This window comes from Homo sapiens, chromosome 1 (assembly GCF_000001405.40).
Source record: "Homo sapiens chromosome 1, GRCh38.p14 Primary Assembly".
Lineage (NCBI taxonomy): Eukaryota > Metazoa > Chordata > Mammalia > Primates > Hominidae > Homo > Homo sapiens.
In genome coordinates this window covers 154259900-154277595 of record NC_000001.11, presented here as the reverse complement: position 1 = coordinate 154277595, position 17696 = coordinate 154259900, and the positions used below count along the sequence as shown (strand labels likewise).

The 17696-nt window shown below is 46.3% G+C and overlaps 2 protein-coding genes across 54 annotated transcripts in view, besides 2 other annotated features; both read right to left on the bottom strand.

Annotated features, from left to right (window-relative positions):
• HAX1 (HCLS1 associated protein X-1) lies at positions 1721–4967 on the bottom strand. 2 transcript variants are annotated; one of them, NM_006118.4, is made up of 7 exons: positions 4820–4967; positions 3998–4260; positions 3635–3822; positions 2595–2646; positions 2336–2442; positions 2113–2203; positions 1721–1980 (listed from the first exon to the last, which is right to left on the bottom strand). In NM_006118.4, exons 1-7 carry the CDS (start codon positions 4870–4872, stop codon positions 1895–1897), a joined length of 840 nt encoding a protein of 279 aa, NP_006109.2. In that variant the 5' UTR covers positions 4873–4967; the 3' UTR covers positions 1721–1894. The 2 variants fall into 2 exon arrangements, with proteins under 2 accessions (NP_006109.2, NP_001018238.1); NM_001018837.2 differs by having other exon boundaries at positions 3998–4116.
• Positions 4904–5073: an enhancer, noted in NCBI's record as "active region_1775". NCBI's record gives its function as "activates an Ori minimal core promoter by ATAC-STARR-seq in GM12878 lymphoblastoid cells {active_cell/tissue: GM12878}" and the evidence as "EXISTENCE:reporter gene assay evidence [ECO:0000049][PMID:35858748]".
• Positions 5211–5351: a silencer, noted in NCBI's record as "fragment chr1:154244721-154244861 (GRCh37/hg19 assembly coordinates)". NCBI's record gives its function as "represses an EF-1alpha promoter that drives an FKBP-Casp9 reporter gene in an ReSE screen in HepG2 liver carcinoma cells {active_cell/tissue: HepG2}" and the evidence as "EXISTENCE:reporter gene assay evidence [ECO:0000049][PMID:32094911]".
• Positions 6086–17696, bottom strand: part of UBAP2L (ubiquitin associated protein 2 like) — a 51339-nt gene continuing 39728 nt past the window's right edge. For 7 of the 52 annotated variants that reach the window (XM_047435827.1, XM_011510215.4, XM_017002972.3 and 4 more), the window contains exons 22-28: positions 17567–17648; positions 16487–16704; positions 15899–16004; positions 11028–11095; positions 8642–8836; positions 8184–8234; positions 6749–7396 (exon numbers count right to left, since the gene is read on the bottom strand). In XM_047435827.1, the coding sequence (XP_047291783.1) occupies positions 7301–7396; positions 8184–8234; positions 8642–8836; positions 11028–11095; positions 15899–16004; positions 16487–16704; positions 17567–17648 (816 nt within the window). In that variant the 3' untranslated portion in view covers positions 6749–7300. Of the gene's footprint in view, positions 6716–6748; positions 7397–8183; positions 8235–8641; positions 8840–11027; positions 11096–14090; positions 14494–15898; positions 16005–16486; positions 16705–17566; positions 17649–17696 lie in introns of those variants that run through there. The other 45 variants (NM_001127320.3, XM_005245673.5, XM_047435898.1 and 42 more) reach the window with 9 other exon arrangements.

The window sequence follows — 17696 nt, the reverse complement described above, 5'->3', positions numbered from 1 at the left end:
GGGAGGCTGAGGCAGGCGGATCACAAGGTCAAGAGATCGAGACCAGCTTGGCCAACATGGTGAAACCCTGTCTCTACTAAAAATACAAAAATTAGCTGGGCGTGGTAGCACGTGCCTGTAGTCCCAGCTACTCGGGAGGCTGAGGCAGGAGAATCACTTGAACGCGGGAGGCAGAGGTTGCAGTGAGCCGAGATTGCGCCACTGCACTCCAGCCTGGGTGACAAAGCGAGAGTCCATCTCAAAAAAAAAAAAAAAAAAAAAAATATATATATATATATATATATATTTTAGAAATAGGATCTTGCTATGTTGCCTCCGCCTCCTGGGCTCAAGTAATCCTCCTATCTCAGCCTCCCAAGTAGCTAGGATGATAGGTACAGTCTAACACACCTGGTTAAAAACTTTTATAATGAGAAAAGGAAGCCTGGGCAACATGGCAAAACTCCGTCTCTACAAAAAATACAAAATAATAATAATAATAAAAGGAAAAAAAACGAGAAAAAAAATTAGCTAGGCATGGTGGTGTACGCCTGTAGTCCCAGCTACTCAGGAGGCTGAGGTGGGAGGACTGAGCCCAGGTCGAGGCTACAGTGGGCCAACATCGCCCCCTACACTCCAGCCTGTGTGACAGAATGAGACCCTGCCTCAAAAAGAAAAAAGGACCTAGTAACGTTTGTGCCAGGTGTATTTTCTCTAACATACATAACAATTTTTTGAGATGGAATTTCGTTCTTGTTGCTCAAGCTGGAGTGCAATGGCATGATCATGGCTCACTGCAACCTCCACCTCCTGAGTTCCAGCAATTCTCCTACCTCAGCCTCCCAAGTAGCTGGGATTACAAACATGTGCCACCACATCTGGCTAATTTTTGTATTTTTAGTAGAGACAGGGTTTCACCGTATTGGTCAGGCTAATCTCGAACTCCTGACTTCATGTGATCCATCTGCCTCGGCCTCCCAAAGTGCTGGGATTACAGGCGTGAGCCACCACACCCAGCCACATAACAACTTTTTAAGGCCAGTAAAGTAAGGGAAATTTACCCATGTGCTTCCCCAGTTACTTCATGAACTCTCCAGTCAGTGATCCCACACTCAGGGAAGCAGTTAACCCCTACTTCCACACCCACACCCTTTTTTTGGGAATCTGATGTATCCCTCTCTAGAAATTTTCCTGAAATTATTTCTAGTCATCTCCTCAGTAAGAAAAATCATTTTTCTTTTTCTTTTCTTTTCTTTTTTTTTTTTTTTTTTTTTTTTGAGATGGAGTTTCACTCTTGTCGCCCACGCTGGAGTGCAATGGCGTGATCTCGGCTCATTGCAACCTCCTCCTACCAGGTTCAAGCGATTCTCCTGCCCTAGCCTGGGATTACAGGCACCCGCCACCATGCCCAGCTAATTTTTGTATTTTTAGTAGAGACAGAGTTTCACCACATTGGCCAGGCTGGTCTTGAACTCCTGACCTCAGGTTATCTGCCTGTCTCAGCCTCCCAAAGTGCTGGGATTACAGGCATGAGCCAACGAGCCCGGCCTCTTTTTTTTTTTTTCTTGCTTGAGAAAGAAAAATCATTTTCTACTTGTGCCTGACCCTTACTTATGAAATCAGGTTTTAGATGCAGAATAAAAAATTAAGGAATAAGGAGAAGGCAGAGGACCAAGATAATTTCGGAAGTGTTGGATGGTTCTAGAAACTGAAATAGCCTTGACAAAACCAAGACAAAAAATTAGCATAAATAAAGGTTTTATTGGTCAGTTTGGGTGAGTGACAAACTGACATGGCCCCAGTTCACTATTCCACATATCCAAGCCCCTGAGGTGGCAAGAGAAGCTAAGCTTATTAATGGTGGGCAATGGGTGAGAGGTGGAAAGGACTTGAAGGCCTCTGAGGGTTAACAAGGCTACCGGGACCGGAACCAACGTCCCAGGAATAAGTCCAGGATGGAAAAGGCATCATCCAGGGCTGGAGGTCTTGGTGATTCTGGATCTAAGGAAGAAAGTCATACACGTAAATAGGCTAAATGAAAGAGACTAGGCAGAAGCAAAGGACAAGGGTAGAAGAGTAAGATTTCCCTTCCCCAAGGAATCTTGAGATGAACCCCTTTGTCTTTTAACTTACCACCCCTAGGACTGCTATCTGCTTCGTGTCGGGTTACTGTAGTCTCTGTCCGGCCCTCACTGTCCACCACAGTCCGGCGCTCCTCCACTATCTACAAAGAGAAGTCCCCACCATATTCCGAATGTTACTAAAGGTTATGCTCAGCAGTTTCTTTACACAGATCCCTGTTTCAGGGCATTCGTTCCCTGGCCATACTTTCCTTTACCTCTTTCTTTCAACTCACCCCATCTGGTTTAGTGATCTTGGTCACAGAGATGCTCTTGAAATAGGATTTGGGCTGGGGCTGTAGAACCGGGCCAAGACCCTCCTGGGAAACCTGGGAATCAAGATCTGGAAGAGCAGAGAGATGAAGAAGCAGGAGAGAAAGAGTCCAAAGGAAAAAAGGAGACAAGTGTACAGGAAGAAACTTCAGGGAGGGAGAACACACAGAACTTCAGAAGAATAACAAAAGGCTGGTAAACTTCCCCTTCCTCCAGACTTACCATTGTCCTCTCTGGTTCTAGGATGGGGGTCCATAGGCCATACATCATCAAACTGCAGAAGAAACCATAGTAAGTGAAAAGACTCCTTCCAATCTGAAATTTGAAAGGTCATAGACCTCAAACTACTCCCGAGCTCCAAAACCCCCTTCCACAGAAGAGATAATTCCATTCAGAATAGCCTTATTTACACACTCCTTCCTGGCTGTTTTATGTATCCTTCTACCAGAAAGACTTCCTGAACTGATATATTCCTATCCTCTGTGCACAATCCTGCCTTATCCAAGAATTATCTAGACCAGTGGTGTTTTTTTGTTTTTGTTTTTTAAAAGAAACAGAACACCCATCTCCCCCCAAAGAAAATCCCACAAGCTTAATATAGAAAACAGAAAACACTAAATGGAGGGCTTAGGATTCCAACCCAAGGCTATCAGATTCAAACAAGAATTGCAATCTTTGGCCAGGCATGATGGCTCACACTTGTAATTCCAGCACTTTGGGAGGCCGAGGTGGGTGGATCACCTGAGGTCAGGAGCTCAAAAGCAGCCTGGCCAACACGGTGAAACGCCATCTCTACTAAAAACACAAAAATTAGCTGGGCGTTTGGCAGGCGACTGTAATCCCAGCTACTCAGGAGGCTGAGGCAGGAGAATCACTTGAACCTGGGAATTGGAGGTTGCAGTGAGCTGAGATTGTGCCACGGCACTACAGCCTGGGCAACAGAGCAAGGCTGGGTCTCAAACAATTTTTGAGATGGAGTCTCCACCTCCTGGGTTCAACCAATTCTCCTGCCTCAGCCTCCTGAGTAGCTGGCATTACAGGCACCTGCCACCATGCCCGGCTAATTTTTTGTATTTTTAGTAGACACGGGGTTTCACCATGTTGACCAGGCTGGTCTCCAACTCCTGACCTCTGGTGATCTGCCCACCTCGGCCTCCCAAAGTGCTGGGATTACAGGCGTGAGCCACCGCACCTAGCCAGTCTTTGCACTTTATTAGTGGTCTCTCACAAGCTCTCACTTCAGGACCAGATGGGATACTCACCCTATGAAATGGCCTCTGGGAGCCCCAGTCTGGTGCTGGTTGGGGGGATTCACTTCTTGCATCACTCTCCAAGACCCCCCCAAAGATCCTGGGCTGGTGACTATCTGGATACTTAAGCATTGAGTCCCGAAGTGTCTGTCCCTCCCGTAGTCTCTCACCAGGTGTCTCTGACTCAGGACCTGGAAGTTCTGCAGAAAGGTGGCAGGTGTTTGCTGGGATGGGAAAGGACTTGGGCTCTATTAATCTCTCTGAAATCATCAGTCTTCTCACACTTCCCATCCCCCAGCTACTCCCTGCAGGCTCTTTATTTCACCCACCAACCCACCAGAAACCACAGGTTGCCCCTTAGGGAAAGCCACACACCAGGAGGATGGGAAGGCAAGGTCCAGGCCCCCATATCGCTGAAGATGCTATTGAAATCTCGTACTAGGTCATCAAAGCCGAAGTTATCGTGGAAACGTATCCCTCCTCCTGGGCTGAAGCTGAAGCCGAAGCCAAATTCCTCAGGGGGGTGCTGAGGACTATGGAACCTTGGGTTCCCACGGCCCCATGAGCCCCCTTCTTCTTCTTCTTCCTCATCATCATCTTCATCTCGAGTCATCCCTCCAAAAAAGGGATCTCTGTGGCTGAGAGTGGAGGCAGATTGGCCACCAATATTTCAGCACTATTTAAGCCATTAAATCAACTCATGGGTGGCAAAGTGGGACAAGAGCAAGGGGTCTGGGAAGCTAGGGAGAGGGTCGGAGGACTGGCTGCCACATCAAAACATTAATACAATGGCTGACAGTTCTTTTTTTTTTTTTTTTTTTTTAATCAAAGTCAGACCTCAGCTCGCAGCTCCCTTCATACACCTTCCCCCAGTTTTTCTTCAGTGTGCCCCAGTCCCTCCTCTCTCTCCCAAGGTCCTGCTCACTTGCTCACTGTCTTATTCCCCAGACCCTCACGGTCTTCCCCGCCCGGGTCCCTGTTGCATCACCCCAGGTTGGAGAAAGGCTTAGTTTGCTGTTTCTCCTCTTAATGACCGCCTTGGTTACTGTGGCGGGGTGAGTGTTCAATGTTGCGACTTCTGTCCTCTCTGCAGGAGTTGAAGGAGTGGGACAGAGGATGTTTTTCCAAAAATAAGACGTAGGGGTCAAGCTCCCCTCAGACGACCCCCACCCTTGTCCGAGCCGGACCTACTCTCACCTCCGAGGTCCAGGAAAGCCGAAAAAGCCCCGGAAGAGATCAAAGAGGCTCATTCCCGTACTGGGACGCGAACCTTTGAACCCCTCCAGTGGTCCATTCGCAGACGGGGGAAACCTGCGCAGCCCTGTGAGAAATTGAGCGAGGCGTCAGCCCACGCTACCGGAAAGCAAGCCCGCGATCCTGACACTGTCGTAAACGACGGTAAGCCGGACGTGAAATGGAGGCGGGACCGAAGGTCTTCCTCAAATTTGAAAGGCTTTATCTTTACCCCACCTTTCAGAGACCAGTTTCCGTGACGGGAGTGGGCGTGACGCACTTTCAGTTTCCTATGACCGCCTTCCTCCTAAATCTGTTCTTCTTTCTGCAGACCAACTCAGTACGAAAAGCGATTTCGAGGGTTTGACTCTGGATGGCACCCGGATAAAGCCGCCAGAGGGCAGCCCAGCCGCACAAATGGACCGGCTTGAGGGCGTCCCTCAACCACCCCACCCGCGGGGCTGGCCAGCCTCACAGCAGAAGCCACCTCGCTCCTTACTCGGGCGTTCTTTTTGACTGACCTGGGCGATGTCTGCTGTTAGAGGGATGAACAAAATGCTTTTCCAAGCTCCTTCTAGTATTGAATTTCCCAGAGAAGAGATCAAGACATAAGAGACGCATGGACTTAACTTCCTCCACCTCTCTAGCTACTAGGGAGTTTGTTATAACTATATAGAATTCTTTTTTCTAAGCAGGCTCTGCAACCAGCAAGACAAAGGATTTTTAAGAAAGCAAGGGAAGGGAAGCTAGTTGAGTCCTGAGAAGGAACAAATTGGGGGTTATAAAGAAATATCCCTTTGGTATCTTTTTTTTTTTTTTTTTTTTTTTTTTTTTGAGACAGAGTTTTCTCTCATGTTTCCCAGGCTGGAGTGCAGTGGCACCATGTCGGCTCACTGCAACCTTCGCCTCCCAGGTTCTCTCCTGTCTCAGCCTCCCGAGTAGCTGGGATTACAGTCATGCGCCTCCACGCCCGGCTACTTTTGTATTTTTTGTAGAAACGGGGTTTCACCATGTTGACCAGGCTGGTCTCGAACTCCTGACCTAAGGTGATCCGCCCAACCCAGCCTCCCAAAGCGCCTGTCCTCATTCCTTTTTAAAAGTGTTTTGTTCAAAACCTCTCCGAGACCTGTCTCTCCCTGTACCCCATCCCCAAGCCAGACCTTGCTCTAGATTCTTTTTCAAAGAATTGGGTATAGCTATGTCACAGAGAAGCATCCAAGAAGCCACTACTACAGTAGTCCATTCCTAGGGGGAATGGGCCCCAAGGTTTTGTTTTTTTATTTCGTTTTTGGGGTACAGGTGGTGTTTGGTTACATGGATGAGTTCTTTAGTGATTTCTGCGACTTTAGCGCACCCATCACCCGAGCAGTGTACACTGTACCCAATATGTAGTCTTTCATCCCTCACCCCACTCCAAGATTTAGTTCTGCCAGACGATACATGTTGCCTTCACTTCTTTTTAGTTTATTTGCCTGGACCCATCTAAGTCATACTTAAAACTCTATAAAGCATTTTTTTTCTTTGAAATGGTCTCAGCTCCTTCTTGATCCTCTCCATTTTCCACCCAATCTCCTCTATCCCTCTCCCTTTACTGCCTGAAATCGGCTGTAGATGTAGCAGTTTCTGGAGGAAATGAAGATTTGTGGTGGTTCTTTCCAGTCACCAGGTTGTGAAAGTCTTAGGGGTGAGGGGAAGGAAATCCCCTCAAGGACAAGATACTACTACCACATTAAGGTCAGGAGTTCTTAAAGGGCGAAGATTTCATTTTATTCCACTGCCTTCAGGGGCCTGCTAGAGGAGGCCCAGTTGGTACAGTAATACTTATTCACCAAGCTGGTCATCGACGAAATTGAGGATGTCCTAGACGGAGCAAGAATAGGCAGAGGCTGAAGGTAGAGGTTTTCTTTTTATATATACAAGACACATTAATCCATTAAATTTGAGGACACAGTACAAAAAAAAAAAAAAAACAAAAAAAAAACCACTTCAACTAATTCATCTGACAATGCTGTTCATATTCATGACGCCATTTTTTTGTTTGTTGTTGTTGTTGTTTTCCTAATAATAAAGAAGGAGACTTAGGGCTGTTGGGCTGATATATGTTTGGGGGTCCCACCTCCCCGCCTCATCCGTACACCACCAGGGTGAACAGGAGGAAGCAAAGGAAGTGCAGGGCCCATAGCAAAGTTTCATAATCTTGAATGCAAGAGGGGAGAAGGAATGGAAGGGGGAAAAAAAAGGAGAAAATACAAATCCTATAATACATACAACAGGGTGGGGATGGTATAGGAATGGGACAGACATGAAGCTGAGGCATGGGGTGGGCCGCTGGGGGTGGGGGGCAGCGGAAACCCCCCACATTCCTTTCTCTTTGATGCTGTTTCCATAGTTTCCAGGCTGAGAAGCCCTCTCAGAAGATGGGACCGGGAGAAGAGGGTCAGGGCCTCAGTTGGCCCCCCAGCTGTAGCTGTTGTAGGCAGACTTGTTGGTCTGGGGCTTCTGCGGGATGGAGCTGGTCTGGCTACGTTGCCCGCTGCCCGTCTGCAGGGGAATGGGAGGATCATGAGGAGGAAAAAGGTGTCTAGTTAGTGGTACAAATTTGTAACATCTTCAGGTGGAGATGTGCAAACTGTCTTGCTCTCCCATTCCCCTCACTACTATTAGAACCATAGAAAATTTGGTCTGCATAGCTGCTAAAGCCCCTTTCTTACAAGCAGGAAGGCATTTTTGACTTTTAAATAGGGAAAAGATGAAGAGGGCAAGATACCTTTAGAGACAAGGTAGTGAGTGAGTTCTACTCATTTTCAATTCTACATTCTCACACTACCCCCTCTCTCCCCTGCTCTTGGAGATGGGTGATCACAAGGCAATTTCATTTCCATTGATCCCCATTAATGCCTCAATTTGGAAAGCTGTCTTTGAGGAAGGAAGCCCTTATTCTAGCTCCAGCCACCTATAATGGAGCTCTCAAGAGGCCACTTGCATCGCCCCACAGATCCCCACCCCTACCACACATCACATCTGTGAGCCCATTTCAGGCAGGTATGAGAGGCAGTCTGAGGCCTCAGGCTCCAGATGCTGCCCCAAGAATCTTTTCCATTCTGGTAACCGAATGTTTTCCACAGCTGGGGAAGGGTACAAAGATAAAGAGGGTGTTGGGGAGGGGAGGAGGAGAGAGGAAGGGGAGGCCAGAGAGCTCAGCAAGGTGTTTGTGTTTGTGTATCCCGATTTGTGACCGCGCAGTCTTTTCAAGTTCCCTGAGGCTGTGAAGGTGAAATGGGGACTGAAAAGGAGTGGGTTCAAGCATATGATCATTCAATTTCATTACCTGCTCCTCCTGCTGGCGCTGGCAACAGAGAATCATCTGCAAATATGGTAGCTGAGGCAGAACCAGGATATATGGAAAATAAAGGGACAAACTTTGACAATAGAACTCCACCATTAGAAGGGAAAGCTAAAATGTCAGGGAAGAGGGAAGGCTGGGAGAGGAAAGAGGGAAGGTGTGACCCAGGTCTGATGGGATGAGGACAACTGTGGCACAGGAGGAGAAGGGCACCAAAGGAATTGGGCAAAAAAGGTTTCAACCCGGCCCTTCTCTGAGATTTCCTTTGCCGGCCGCTCGTGTTATGTGCGCTTGTGTCTGTATGTGCTGTGTGCCCATGACTGGCGCTGGGGAGGGATTGGGTGAAGGTGGTGGTGAGGAAGGGTAAGAAAAGGAAAGGGAAGGCAGTTTTAAGGGATAGGAAGGAAGAGGAAGGGAAAGGAGAGAAGGGGAAGGGCTATTACCTGGCCATCCTGCTGCAGGTGATGGTGAAGGATCTGAGAATGCGGCTGCTGATGGGGGGTCAGAATGTGCATAAAGGGGGCAGGTGGGTAGGCAGCAGCTGTGGCCGGATTGATGGGGCCCCCACTTCCTAGGGCTGAAGGCAAGTTGAAGGAAGCAGCAGGAGTACCGGAATGAAAACCTTGTTTCTCAAAGGACTGCTATCCAGGAGGCCAGGAGGAGACAGAGTAAAAGGGATCAGCAAACTAGTCTTGGGATTTTTCCTGAGCTCAAGCTCCCTGACCCTCAGAAAGCAGCATGGTGTCACAGAAGGCACAGTACACTTGAAGTCACATATTCAGGTCTCAGTCTCAGCTCTGCTCTTATTTAAGAACTGTGTGAACCTGGGCATACTACTCAATCTCTTAGCCTCAGTTTCCTCAGATATAAAACAGGGATGCTACAAACCTGTTGTAAAGACCAAATAGGCTGGGCATGGTGGCTCACATCTGTAATCCCAGCACTTTGGGAGGCCAAGATGGGTGGATCACACAAGGTCAGGAGTTTAAGACCAGTCTGGCCAATATGGTGAAACCCCGTCTCTACTAAAAATACAAAAATTAGCCGGGCATGGTGGCGGGCGCCTGTAATCCAGCTACTTGGGAGTCTGAGGCAGGAGAATCACTTGAACCTGGGAGGTGGAGGTTGCAGTGAGTCAAGACTGTGCCACTGCACTCCAGCCTGGGAGACAGAGGGAGACTCCATCTCAAGAAAAAAAAGAAAAAAAAAGGCTGGGCGCAGTGGCCCATGCCTGTAATCCCAGCATTTTGGGAGGCCAATGCAGGCGGATCACCTGAGGTCAGGAGTTTGAGACCAGCCTGACAAACATGAAGAAACCCCGTCTCTACTAAAAACACAAAATTACCCGGGCATGGTGGCACATGCCTGTAATCCCAGCTACTTGGGAGGCTGAGGCAGGAGAATCGCTTGAACCCGAGAGGCGGAGGTTATGGTGAGCCCAGATCGCACCATTACACTCCAGCCTGGGCAACAAGAATGAAACTCCGTCTCAAAAAAAAAAAAAAAAAAAAAAAAAAGACCAAATAAGAGGATGGAATGTGGAAGCACTTTGTAAAACTGAATGTCATATGTGAACATCATGAAATCCGAACTTAGAACTCCAGGCTGGGCATGATGGCTCACATCTGTAATCCCAGCACTTTTGGGAGGCTAAGGCGGGTGGATTGCTTGAGCCCAGGAGTTCGAGACGAGCCTGGGCAACATGGCAAAACCCTGTATCTACCAAAAAACAAAAATACAAAATACAAAACAAACAAAAAACAAAAATACAAAAATTAGGCAGGCCTGGTGGTGTACACCTATAGCCCCAGCTACTCAGAAGGCTGAGATTCCACCACTGCACTCCAGCCTGGGTGACTTCTTGAGACTGTCTCCAAAAAAAAAAAAAAAGGCAAACCAATAGTGTCCCTACCCCTTCCAATATTCCTTACAAAAATAGTAACTCCGCTGGGTGCAGTGGCTCACGCCTGTAATCTAGCACTTTGGGAGGCCAAGGTGGGCAGATCATGATGTCAGGAGTTCGAGACCAGCCTAGCCAAGATGGTGAAACCCCGTCTCTACTAAAAAATACAAAAATTAGCAGGCGCGGTGGTGGGCACCTGTAATCCCAGCTACTCAGGAGGCTGAGGCAGGAGAACCGCTTAAACCCAGGAGGCAGAGTTTGCAGTGAGCCGAGATCACACCACTGCACTCTAGCCTGGGTGACAAGGCAAGACTCCATCTCAAAAAAAAAAAAAAAAAAAAAACTCGTTGGATATTTCAAAAGAAATAAACACATACTGAGATATTTGAAGTGCTGAAGGTCTTGTGCATGAAGTGCCCCCCCAGACCCCCAGTGCTTTATAGCAAACTTTAAGTATTTATGGTGATGGGGGATAAAAGCAACATAACAAACCTGTGGATCACTCAAATGCTTCATTAGTTACTAGGTCGTCTCCTTTCCCACTCCCACTGTTATAGATTTACTCAAAGAATGGAATGAACTAGTTTCCTGTCACTCTCATACTTATTCTCTTGAAAAGTTATGAAAAAGGTTGGGAGTAGGTAGGAAAAGGGGCCAGGAGAGTTGCACAGTAAATTACATGACACGATAAACAATTTGCCACGCTTTACCTTCCTATTACGTTTCTCGTTTTTTTTCTCAGAGGGCTAAATTTTAACTTCTTAGAGGAAGTGAAGTCTAGAGAAGACCTTTCATTTAGAAAAAGTAGGATGGGTTTCCTGCCACCTCTCCTAGGGTTCTTCTTGTCCACTGTTATTTCTACCATTGCAACTCCACCTCCTCTATGTCTATCTCTTTTCCACTTTTATCCAGAGCCAGGCACCTACCTGGGTTTTGGAGTACACAGAACCCGAGATATCTGGCACGCCCGTGTTACTGGAGGTGACTGAAACACCTGGGGGAGGAGGAAACAGACAGGAGGATTAGCTCAGCTAGCTACCTGGCCCTTATTCCTGAGATGAGGTGATATCTGTAGCCTTTCTAGCTATACCAATGCAAGGGAATTTTGGTCGGTTTTCCAGCTTCAAGTTAGTCCTGAGAGGTAAGAGTTCATGAAACAAAAGCTCCCTAAGGGTTCTTTGGCCCTTCCCAGGTACGTGTTGAGTATACGTGAGAGAGAGTGAGGTAAGTTGTTTTTTGGTGGGCAAGGGGATATGACCAAACCTCACTAGCATACACTGTTTTCAAAACACTTCTGTGCCAAAGTCTAGCAGGAATATAATAAACTTTTAATTTTAATGTCCATTTCAAATCAATCCACCCAAATGCCACTCAGTTTTATTCCTGGAGACTGGGGCAGTCTGGCCCTCTCTCTTCCTGAAGTGACATTTCTGGGCTCAAAATCCATGCCTCCACTGCATAAGTACTAGAGGAGCAGTCCACTTTAATCCCCAAGGGCACTCTCATTCTCAGAGCCTCAGCTCAATTAGTCCAGCTTCTTTAGTCTTGGAGCATCTAGGCTAAATCTTCAAACTTAAGATGTAAAGGTCTAGTATCAAGATCAATTTCCATGTACACAATTTAAGCCTAAGTGTAGCGGGGTGGGGAGGGATAGGTAGACAGGAGTAGGCCATCTCCTATAGCCTAGGTGGAACACAAAAACCACGTCATTTTCAGTATACAACTTCAGCTTCTCCGTAAGATAAAAGCTCTCATACCCCAACTCTCATATTTCCTGTTGAAAAAAACTCCCTACTAACCACTACAACTTTAAAGAAACCAGAGTAGTACAACATGTCATTCTAATTTGTACTCCTCAAACAAATAAATACTCATACTATATTCCATCACCTGGGGTATAAGGCATCGGGTCAAGAAGATAGGAAAAGCCATGAAATAAATAACCTAACATCTTTTATACTTTCCATTTTGAAACAAAGATGTGAAGAAAAGTAAGTAATTTAACTAGGAATATAAAGCATGATTTTAAAAAGATATATTAGTTTTTATAAAAATAAAACAAAGCTTCAGAAAAACTTTGCCTGTCTATGCCCTTGGATCCTTCCCATCAGAGGTACACATTTCCTTCTCCTCTGCTATCAGGAACACTGATGGAAAAGAGTTTTAGAAGCAGTGTACTAGAGTGGCCAAATCACAAATAAGGAATCCTCCATTCACCCACAATTCAAACTCTAGAACCTAAATCCTCCCAATGCCTCAGACAAAGGCAGCCTTCCAAAGTTAAGCCCACCTTGAACAGTCACTTTTGAAGTGGTATCTTAATCTGGAAAACCTTCCCAACATCCTAAGTCCAGATAGTTCCTGGGAGGGGCAAACACTAACTAGGAAAAATAACGGAACTACAGAAAACCAAGCAAGAGAAAATACTTCCTCATCTCCGAAGCATCAACTGTCTAAAGACACTGAAGTAAAAGAAGGGAACGATACAGGAGTATCTTAAAGGGCTAATGGGGTATTTTTTCCATTCCCTTTTCAAACCCGAGGTGCCCATCTGGCAAATCACTGAGTAACAGGCATAACTTTTAAGAATAGGAAGTTCAGTTATGGAAAAGGCTTAAGCTAGTAAGTTCATGTGGAAGGGTGGAGAGTAAAGGTGGAATAAACAGGATATAAGTAGAACATTTTTAAGTCAAACCAAAAGAGAGAATTTATCTTTACTGCAAAGGCAAAAAAAAAATAAAAAAATAAAAAATAGCATAGTTGGTCACCTTCTGCAGTGAGGCTAGGCTGCCTATATTGGATGGAAGAAATGACTAACTGGATTCTCAAGCCGAGTGGTAGGGAGGAATTCAGCTCCAGTGTGCCCCTACCTGATCTCATTCTTTCCAGAGTTTAGGCTAAAAACAGCTTCTAGTCCAGAGGCCTTATCTTTGATATGAGGTTGAAGGGACTGAGAATGCAGGAACCATAATACTCTGTAGTAGCCATAATAATCTCAATTACAGTATTAGAGACCTAGAAAATAATGGGTACTGATTTCACTACCCCTCACCAGTTATTAGGAAGATCTTCAGACTACAGAGTTCTCTTGCTTTCCTTCCAACATCAACACCCCCTACTTATCCCCAAACAGTGACAATACCAGAATCACGTGGGCAGCAGGGCAGAGACACATGAATCTATCTCTCCCACCATGGCAGCCCCTGGGAAAGGTGGTCACACTCCACAGAGCAAAATTACTCCAAAGGGCTGGGAACAAATACAAGGAAAGCTGAATACTTTGGTTTCTAATTCACCCAGGGTGGTGATCTCACTGTCCACGTTAACTTTATAAACAAAGGGCTAATGTTGTATGCTAGCTGGACTGGGAGGGAATTAGAATTTCCATAGTCAAGGAGATATCTGACCAAACCGCTCCTGCACATCCTTAGCTTATACCCACAAATGCAAAACTGGTAATCCACGATCTCTGAAAAGCCATCAAGGGACTAAGAACAATGTTCCAGGATAGCACAGTCGCCACAGAGCCTGAGTCATCAACTAGCTTATCACTAATGACTTTATCAGATCTTAGCCACTTGGCCTTTAGGAACCAGATAGATGTGGGAATTAAGCCTTGAAAGATACTTCTCTAACAGCTCTGAAAACTCTCTCTTTTGCCTTTCACCATGACATGACACTCCAAACTTTTTTGTCCTTTCCCCCACTGCTTATGTAAGAGGCAAAGGAAAGATCTAAATGGAAAAATGAAGCAACATAAGCATGGAGAATCAGGTATTTCTACAAATAGTTTCCTTTACCAACTAATCAACAGGTGGGAAACTGAGGCTGTTTCCCCTCCCCCCACCTTCATAAAACCACCATACTGAAAAATTAATAGTTCTTTGGCTATGCTGGGGTTTGATTAAAAAGGCCACCCTCCACCCTTCATCCACAGCACAGCATTGGTTCCTAGTGTCCACAAAGACATGCACGGAAAGAACGCCAGAGTTAGCTAAAGAAATACCACAGTTTATTGAAGACTACAAATATTTTTGTTACAAGTTGAAACTACATGCCTTCCAGAAATCAAAAGCAACAGCAGGTGTGTGCATTGATGCTTCGAAGGTGCTGCACCGCTTGAACTTGAAATGGGTAAGACAGGGTCAGACACATGGGGGAGAGGGAAATGGGGGAGGGGCAAGTTCAAAAGCCCAGAAGGTATCCACCAACTCATTTCCCCAAGCCACGCAGGCCATGGCCTCAGCTCAGCAGGCTCTCCTCAGTGGTCTGGTTTCTGAAACAAGACTTCAGTGCAAATTTATACACACACACAAAACACAGCCCCCAGCCTTGGGCCAAATTAGCTCTCAGCCGTCCAGAAATGCTTGTAAGGGGGTGGATATTTTCTTCCTAAAAGGAATCAAATACATAAAAATAAATGAATGGAATGACAAAAGCCCTTTGTGGGGTTGGGAACTGGGGGTTCTCAAGGGCTGATATAATACGTTTCTGAATTCTGAAGGGAGGCAAGAAGGTGGGATTTCTAGAATCAGGTATGCCAATTCTCTTATATTATCCATCACCTACCTCTTAAAATTCGTGAACCTGGTCCAACTAAGACTTCAACCTAATGTCCTCAGAAAGGGGCCACCACTCCAAGTCAAAAGGCTTATAATCCTCCCCACCAAGATTTAGGGTGAACCTTGCTCAATGACAGGGGTGGCCACAAGGAGTCTATGTATTAAATCTCAATGGGGCTTCTCAGGATTTGTTTAATTTAACTCATGACCCACTCTAACTCATGCAGCACAGTTCAAAGCTCCACTTGGCTATCAGTTCCTAGCCCTTACTGCCTTCTGTGCTCTTCCCAATTATTGAAAACTGTGGGCAACTGACCCACCCAGAGCCCACATAAGGGTGAAAAACACATGCTGCTCTATCCAAATCACCATGAAACTGTAACTGAGCTGACAGCTTTGAAGGACAACCCCCATCCCCAACCCTAAGCAATCAGAGAAACCTACTCCTCCCCTATTCATCTACAAGTCGCTGAAAAGGTACAATTATATTATTCAAAGATTCCTTCTCACTCCCTGTCCTCCAAAAGTAGAGCACAGATGTCAGGTATGGAAGCAAGGGAGAGGCTGAGTATCTTTTAGGTAAGTACCCATCCAGAGGATTCCTACAATTCCCTCCCTGCCATCACATATGCAAAAAGACTTGCAAAGAGACCAGCCATACAAATGAAGGAACCTAAAGGCCCAACTCTCCCAGTCCAATTCCCACTCTATTAAGTATGGTCACGCCTACTCCTTTTTCTCCACAGTTTAGGTCTTCTAGCTAGGGAATAAAAAAGGACACATAAGAAAAGTAGTGCTACAAAGTGATTTAAGCCAAACCTATCGTAGGCTGCTAGCTATGAACCCATTTAATCCTTCTACTCAGTGAATACACCCCCCTTTTGTACTATCAGTGCCATACATACTATTAACACTTGCCTCCACTGACATTTCAGCAAAATCTTGGGGCTCCTTGCCCTACTTCCACCCACACTTTTGGCCAACCAACATATTCTAAAAACCAACACATACTCTTGGGCATTCCCGTCACAAATAGTGGACACATGTCCTAGTATCAAGCTCCTCTGTTGGTGCTGCTCCCACAGATACCCAAGTCAGCCAAGCATTAACAATCATACCTGGGGCAGCGGCACACCCTCACCAATCCCATTTTCTCAAGCACCAAGTCTTCCTCCCTGAAATTTATCCAATAACACCCCACAGATAACACCGAGCCAGAGACAAGGTCAGCTTACCAGTGTTGTATCCATGAGACCCATATCCACTCGGCTGTTGGAAAGGGGTGGCCGATGCATTCACACTGACATTCACACCATGCTGCTTGGAAGAGGTAGGAGCCACCTAAAGAGCAAAAAGGCCAGATTTGCAGTGACTTGGCAGCAGAATACCATCTGTCCCACTTGTCCTGCTCCAGGTACTGGCCATTCAGATGGCTACCTATCCTGATGCAAGTTGACTACAGTTTGCTTAGTGAAATTAGCTCCTTACTAACTGTTCTAGAATCTACTAATGAAGTCAAGAAATGGTAGTTTGGAGGAAGAAAAAGGGACAATGGCAGCAGGGAATGAATGAATCTGAGTGAAGCAAAGCTGTATGGTATCATATTCTCCCTTTGGCAAATTCTAAGACTAGGCAATCCCTATCCTAATTCCACCAATTCCAGCCCCATTCCCCCACCACCCTGCATCAGGCCAAAAACAGGCCAGAGGTGGAAACTGTTCCTCCTCATCCATTATTAAAGTCATTGACCCTTAAAAGCAGCTAGGATAGTGTCCAGGGCTAGGATCCTTCACCACAAGGAGTGACCAAAGCCAGGTACTCACAGGGAACACAGCAGGCCCATACTGGAAGGTGCTGGGGAGGCCCGGGACCCCTGTATAGTATGGCAGGCTGGTGTAACTGTAGCCAGGAGGCAGCGCCGGGTTCAGGAATGTCTGCTGCGTGGTATGGTGAGTCTGCGTCTGGTTCTGTTGGGGTTGGGCCAAGGTTGTGGCCGGGGCTGGGGAGGAGGCATCCCCACGGCCGAACTTTGTGAGGTCACCTGTGACAGGAGAAGCTAAATGTACCTGCCTCTTTCACCCCAATACCAATACAGAATTACCTCTTCTGATTTCACATGATTCCAGGAGATCCTGTTCAAAGACTATTAAAGTTCAATTCCTTGAATTACATTTCTTAGTGGCTCCAATTATTGTTGCTCAGCATACACTTAGCACAGTTGCTGCAAGTCAAGGACTAATGTTGAATAACTGTGCAATGCTATGGCAGGAGGCTCTTGGAATAAGGCACCTGCACAATTTCTCTGCCCACTTGTGTTCTCTTTCATCTTCCCTCTTCTTCCCTCCCCTCTTCTCCTCCATGGGGAATACCCCATGCTGGACTTGAAGGACAACGATGGATCAGGGAAAACGGTAAGTCAATGAGGACAATGATAGGTCAGGTAAAAGAAGGAGTGGCAAGGCAGTGAGATTGCCACTGTGAGTAGTAGCATAAAGGGGCAGAGATGAGCAGAGAAGACCACCTCAACCACTGTATTTCCTGGAAAAAGCTAGCAAATGGCTTGAAACTAAGTCAAGATATCACTTTTTTTGGAGATGGGGTCTTGCTATGTTGCCCAGGCTGGTCTTGAACTCCTGGGCTCAAGCAATTCTCCCACCTTGGCCTCCCAAGTAGCTGAGACTACAAGTGTGTGCTACCATGCCTGGCTAAGATATCATCTAGAAATCACAGGGAGACAACACAAAGTGGGATGAATAGGAAAAGCCATGACATGCCCAACTTTAGCAGGATTTTGAATCTACCAATCCTGATTTATCACATCCCTTCTTGCTACCAATCAGGTGTCTGCCATCAATCCCAACACTATCTCCCTTTTTATTTATTTAGTCCCATCCCAATCCTACCAGAATAAGGGTTGCTGGCCAGGCTACCATCCCTCCCAGTCAGCGGAGTAGTGGGTGTGGGAAATGGGATGCTGTAGTAATCCTAGAAAAGAGGGGAAAAAAGAGCAGAGATTCAATGTCACTCATTCCC

What these genes read in the sequence shown, in the direction of transcription:
- HAX1 (NM_006118.4), bottom strand. Translation starts at nt 4,872, where the DNA reads ATGAGCCTCTTTGATCTCTTCCGGGGCTTTTTCGGCTTTCCTGGACCT. An exon ending in GGCTTTCCTGGACCTCGGAG is followed by an intron (nt 4,261 to 4,819) that starts GTGAGAGTAGGT and finishes CTCCACTCTCAG; the next exon opens with CCACAGAGATCCCTTTTTTG. An exon ending in AGATCACTAAACCAGATGGG is followed by an intron (nt 2,204 to 2,335) that starts GTGAGTTGAAAG and finishes TTCTCTTTGTAG; the next exon opens with ATAGTGGAGGAGCGCCGGAC.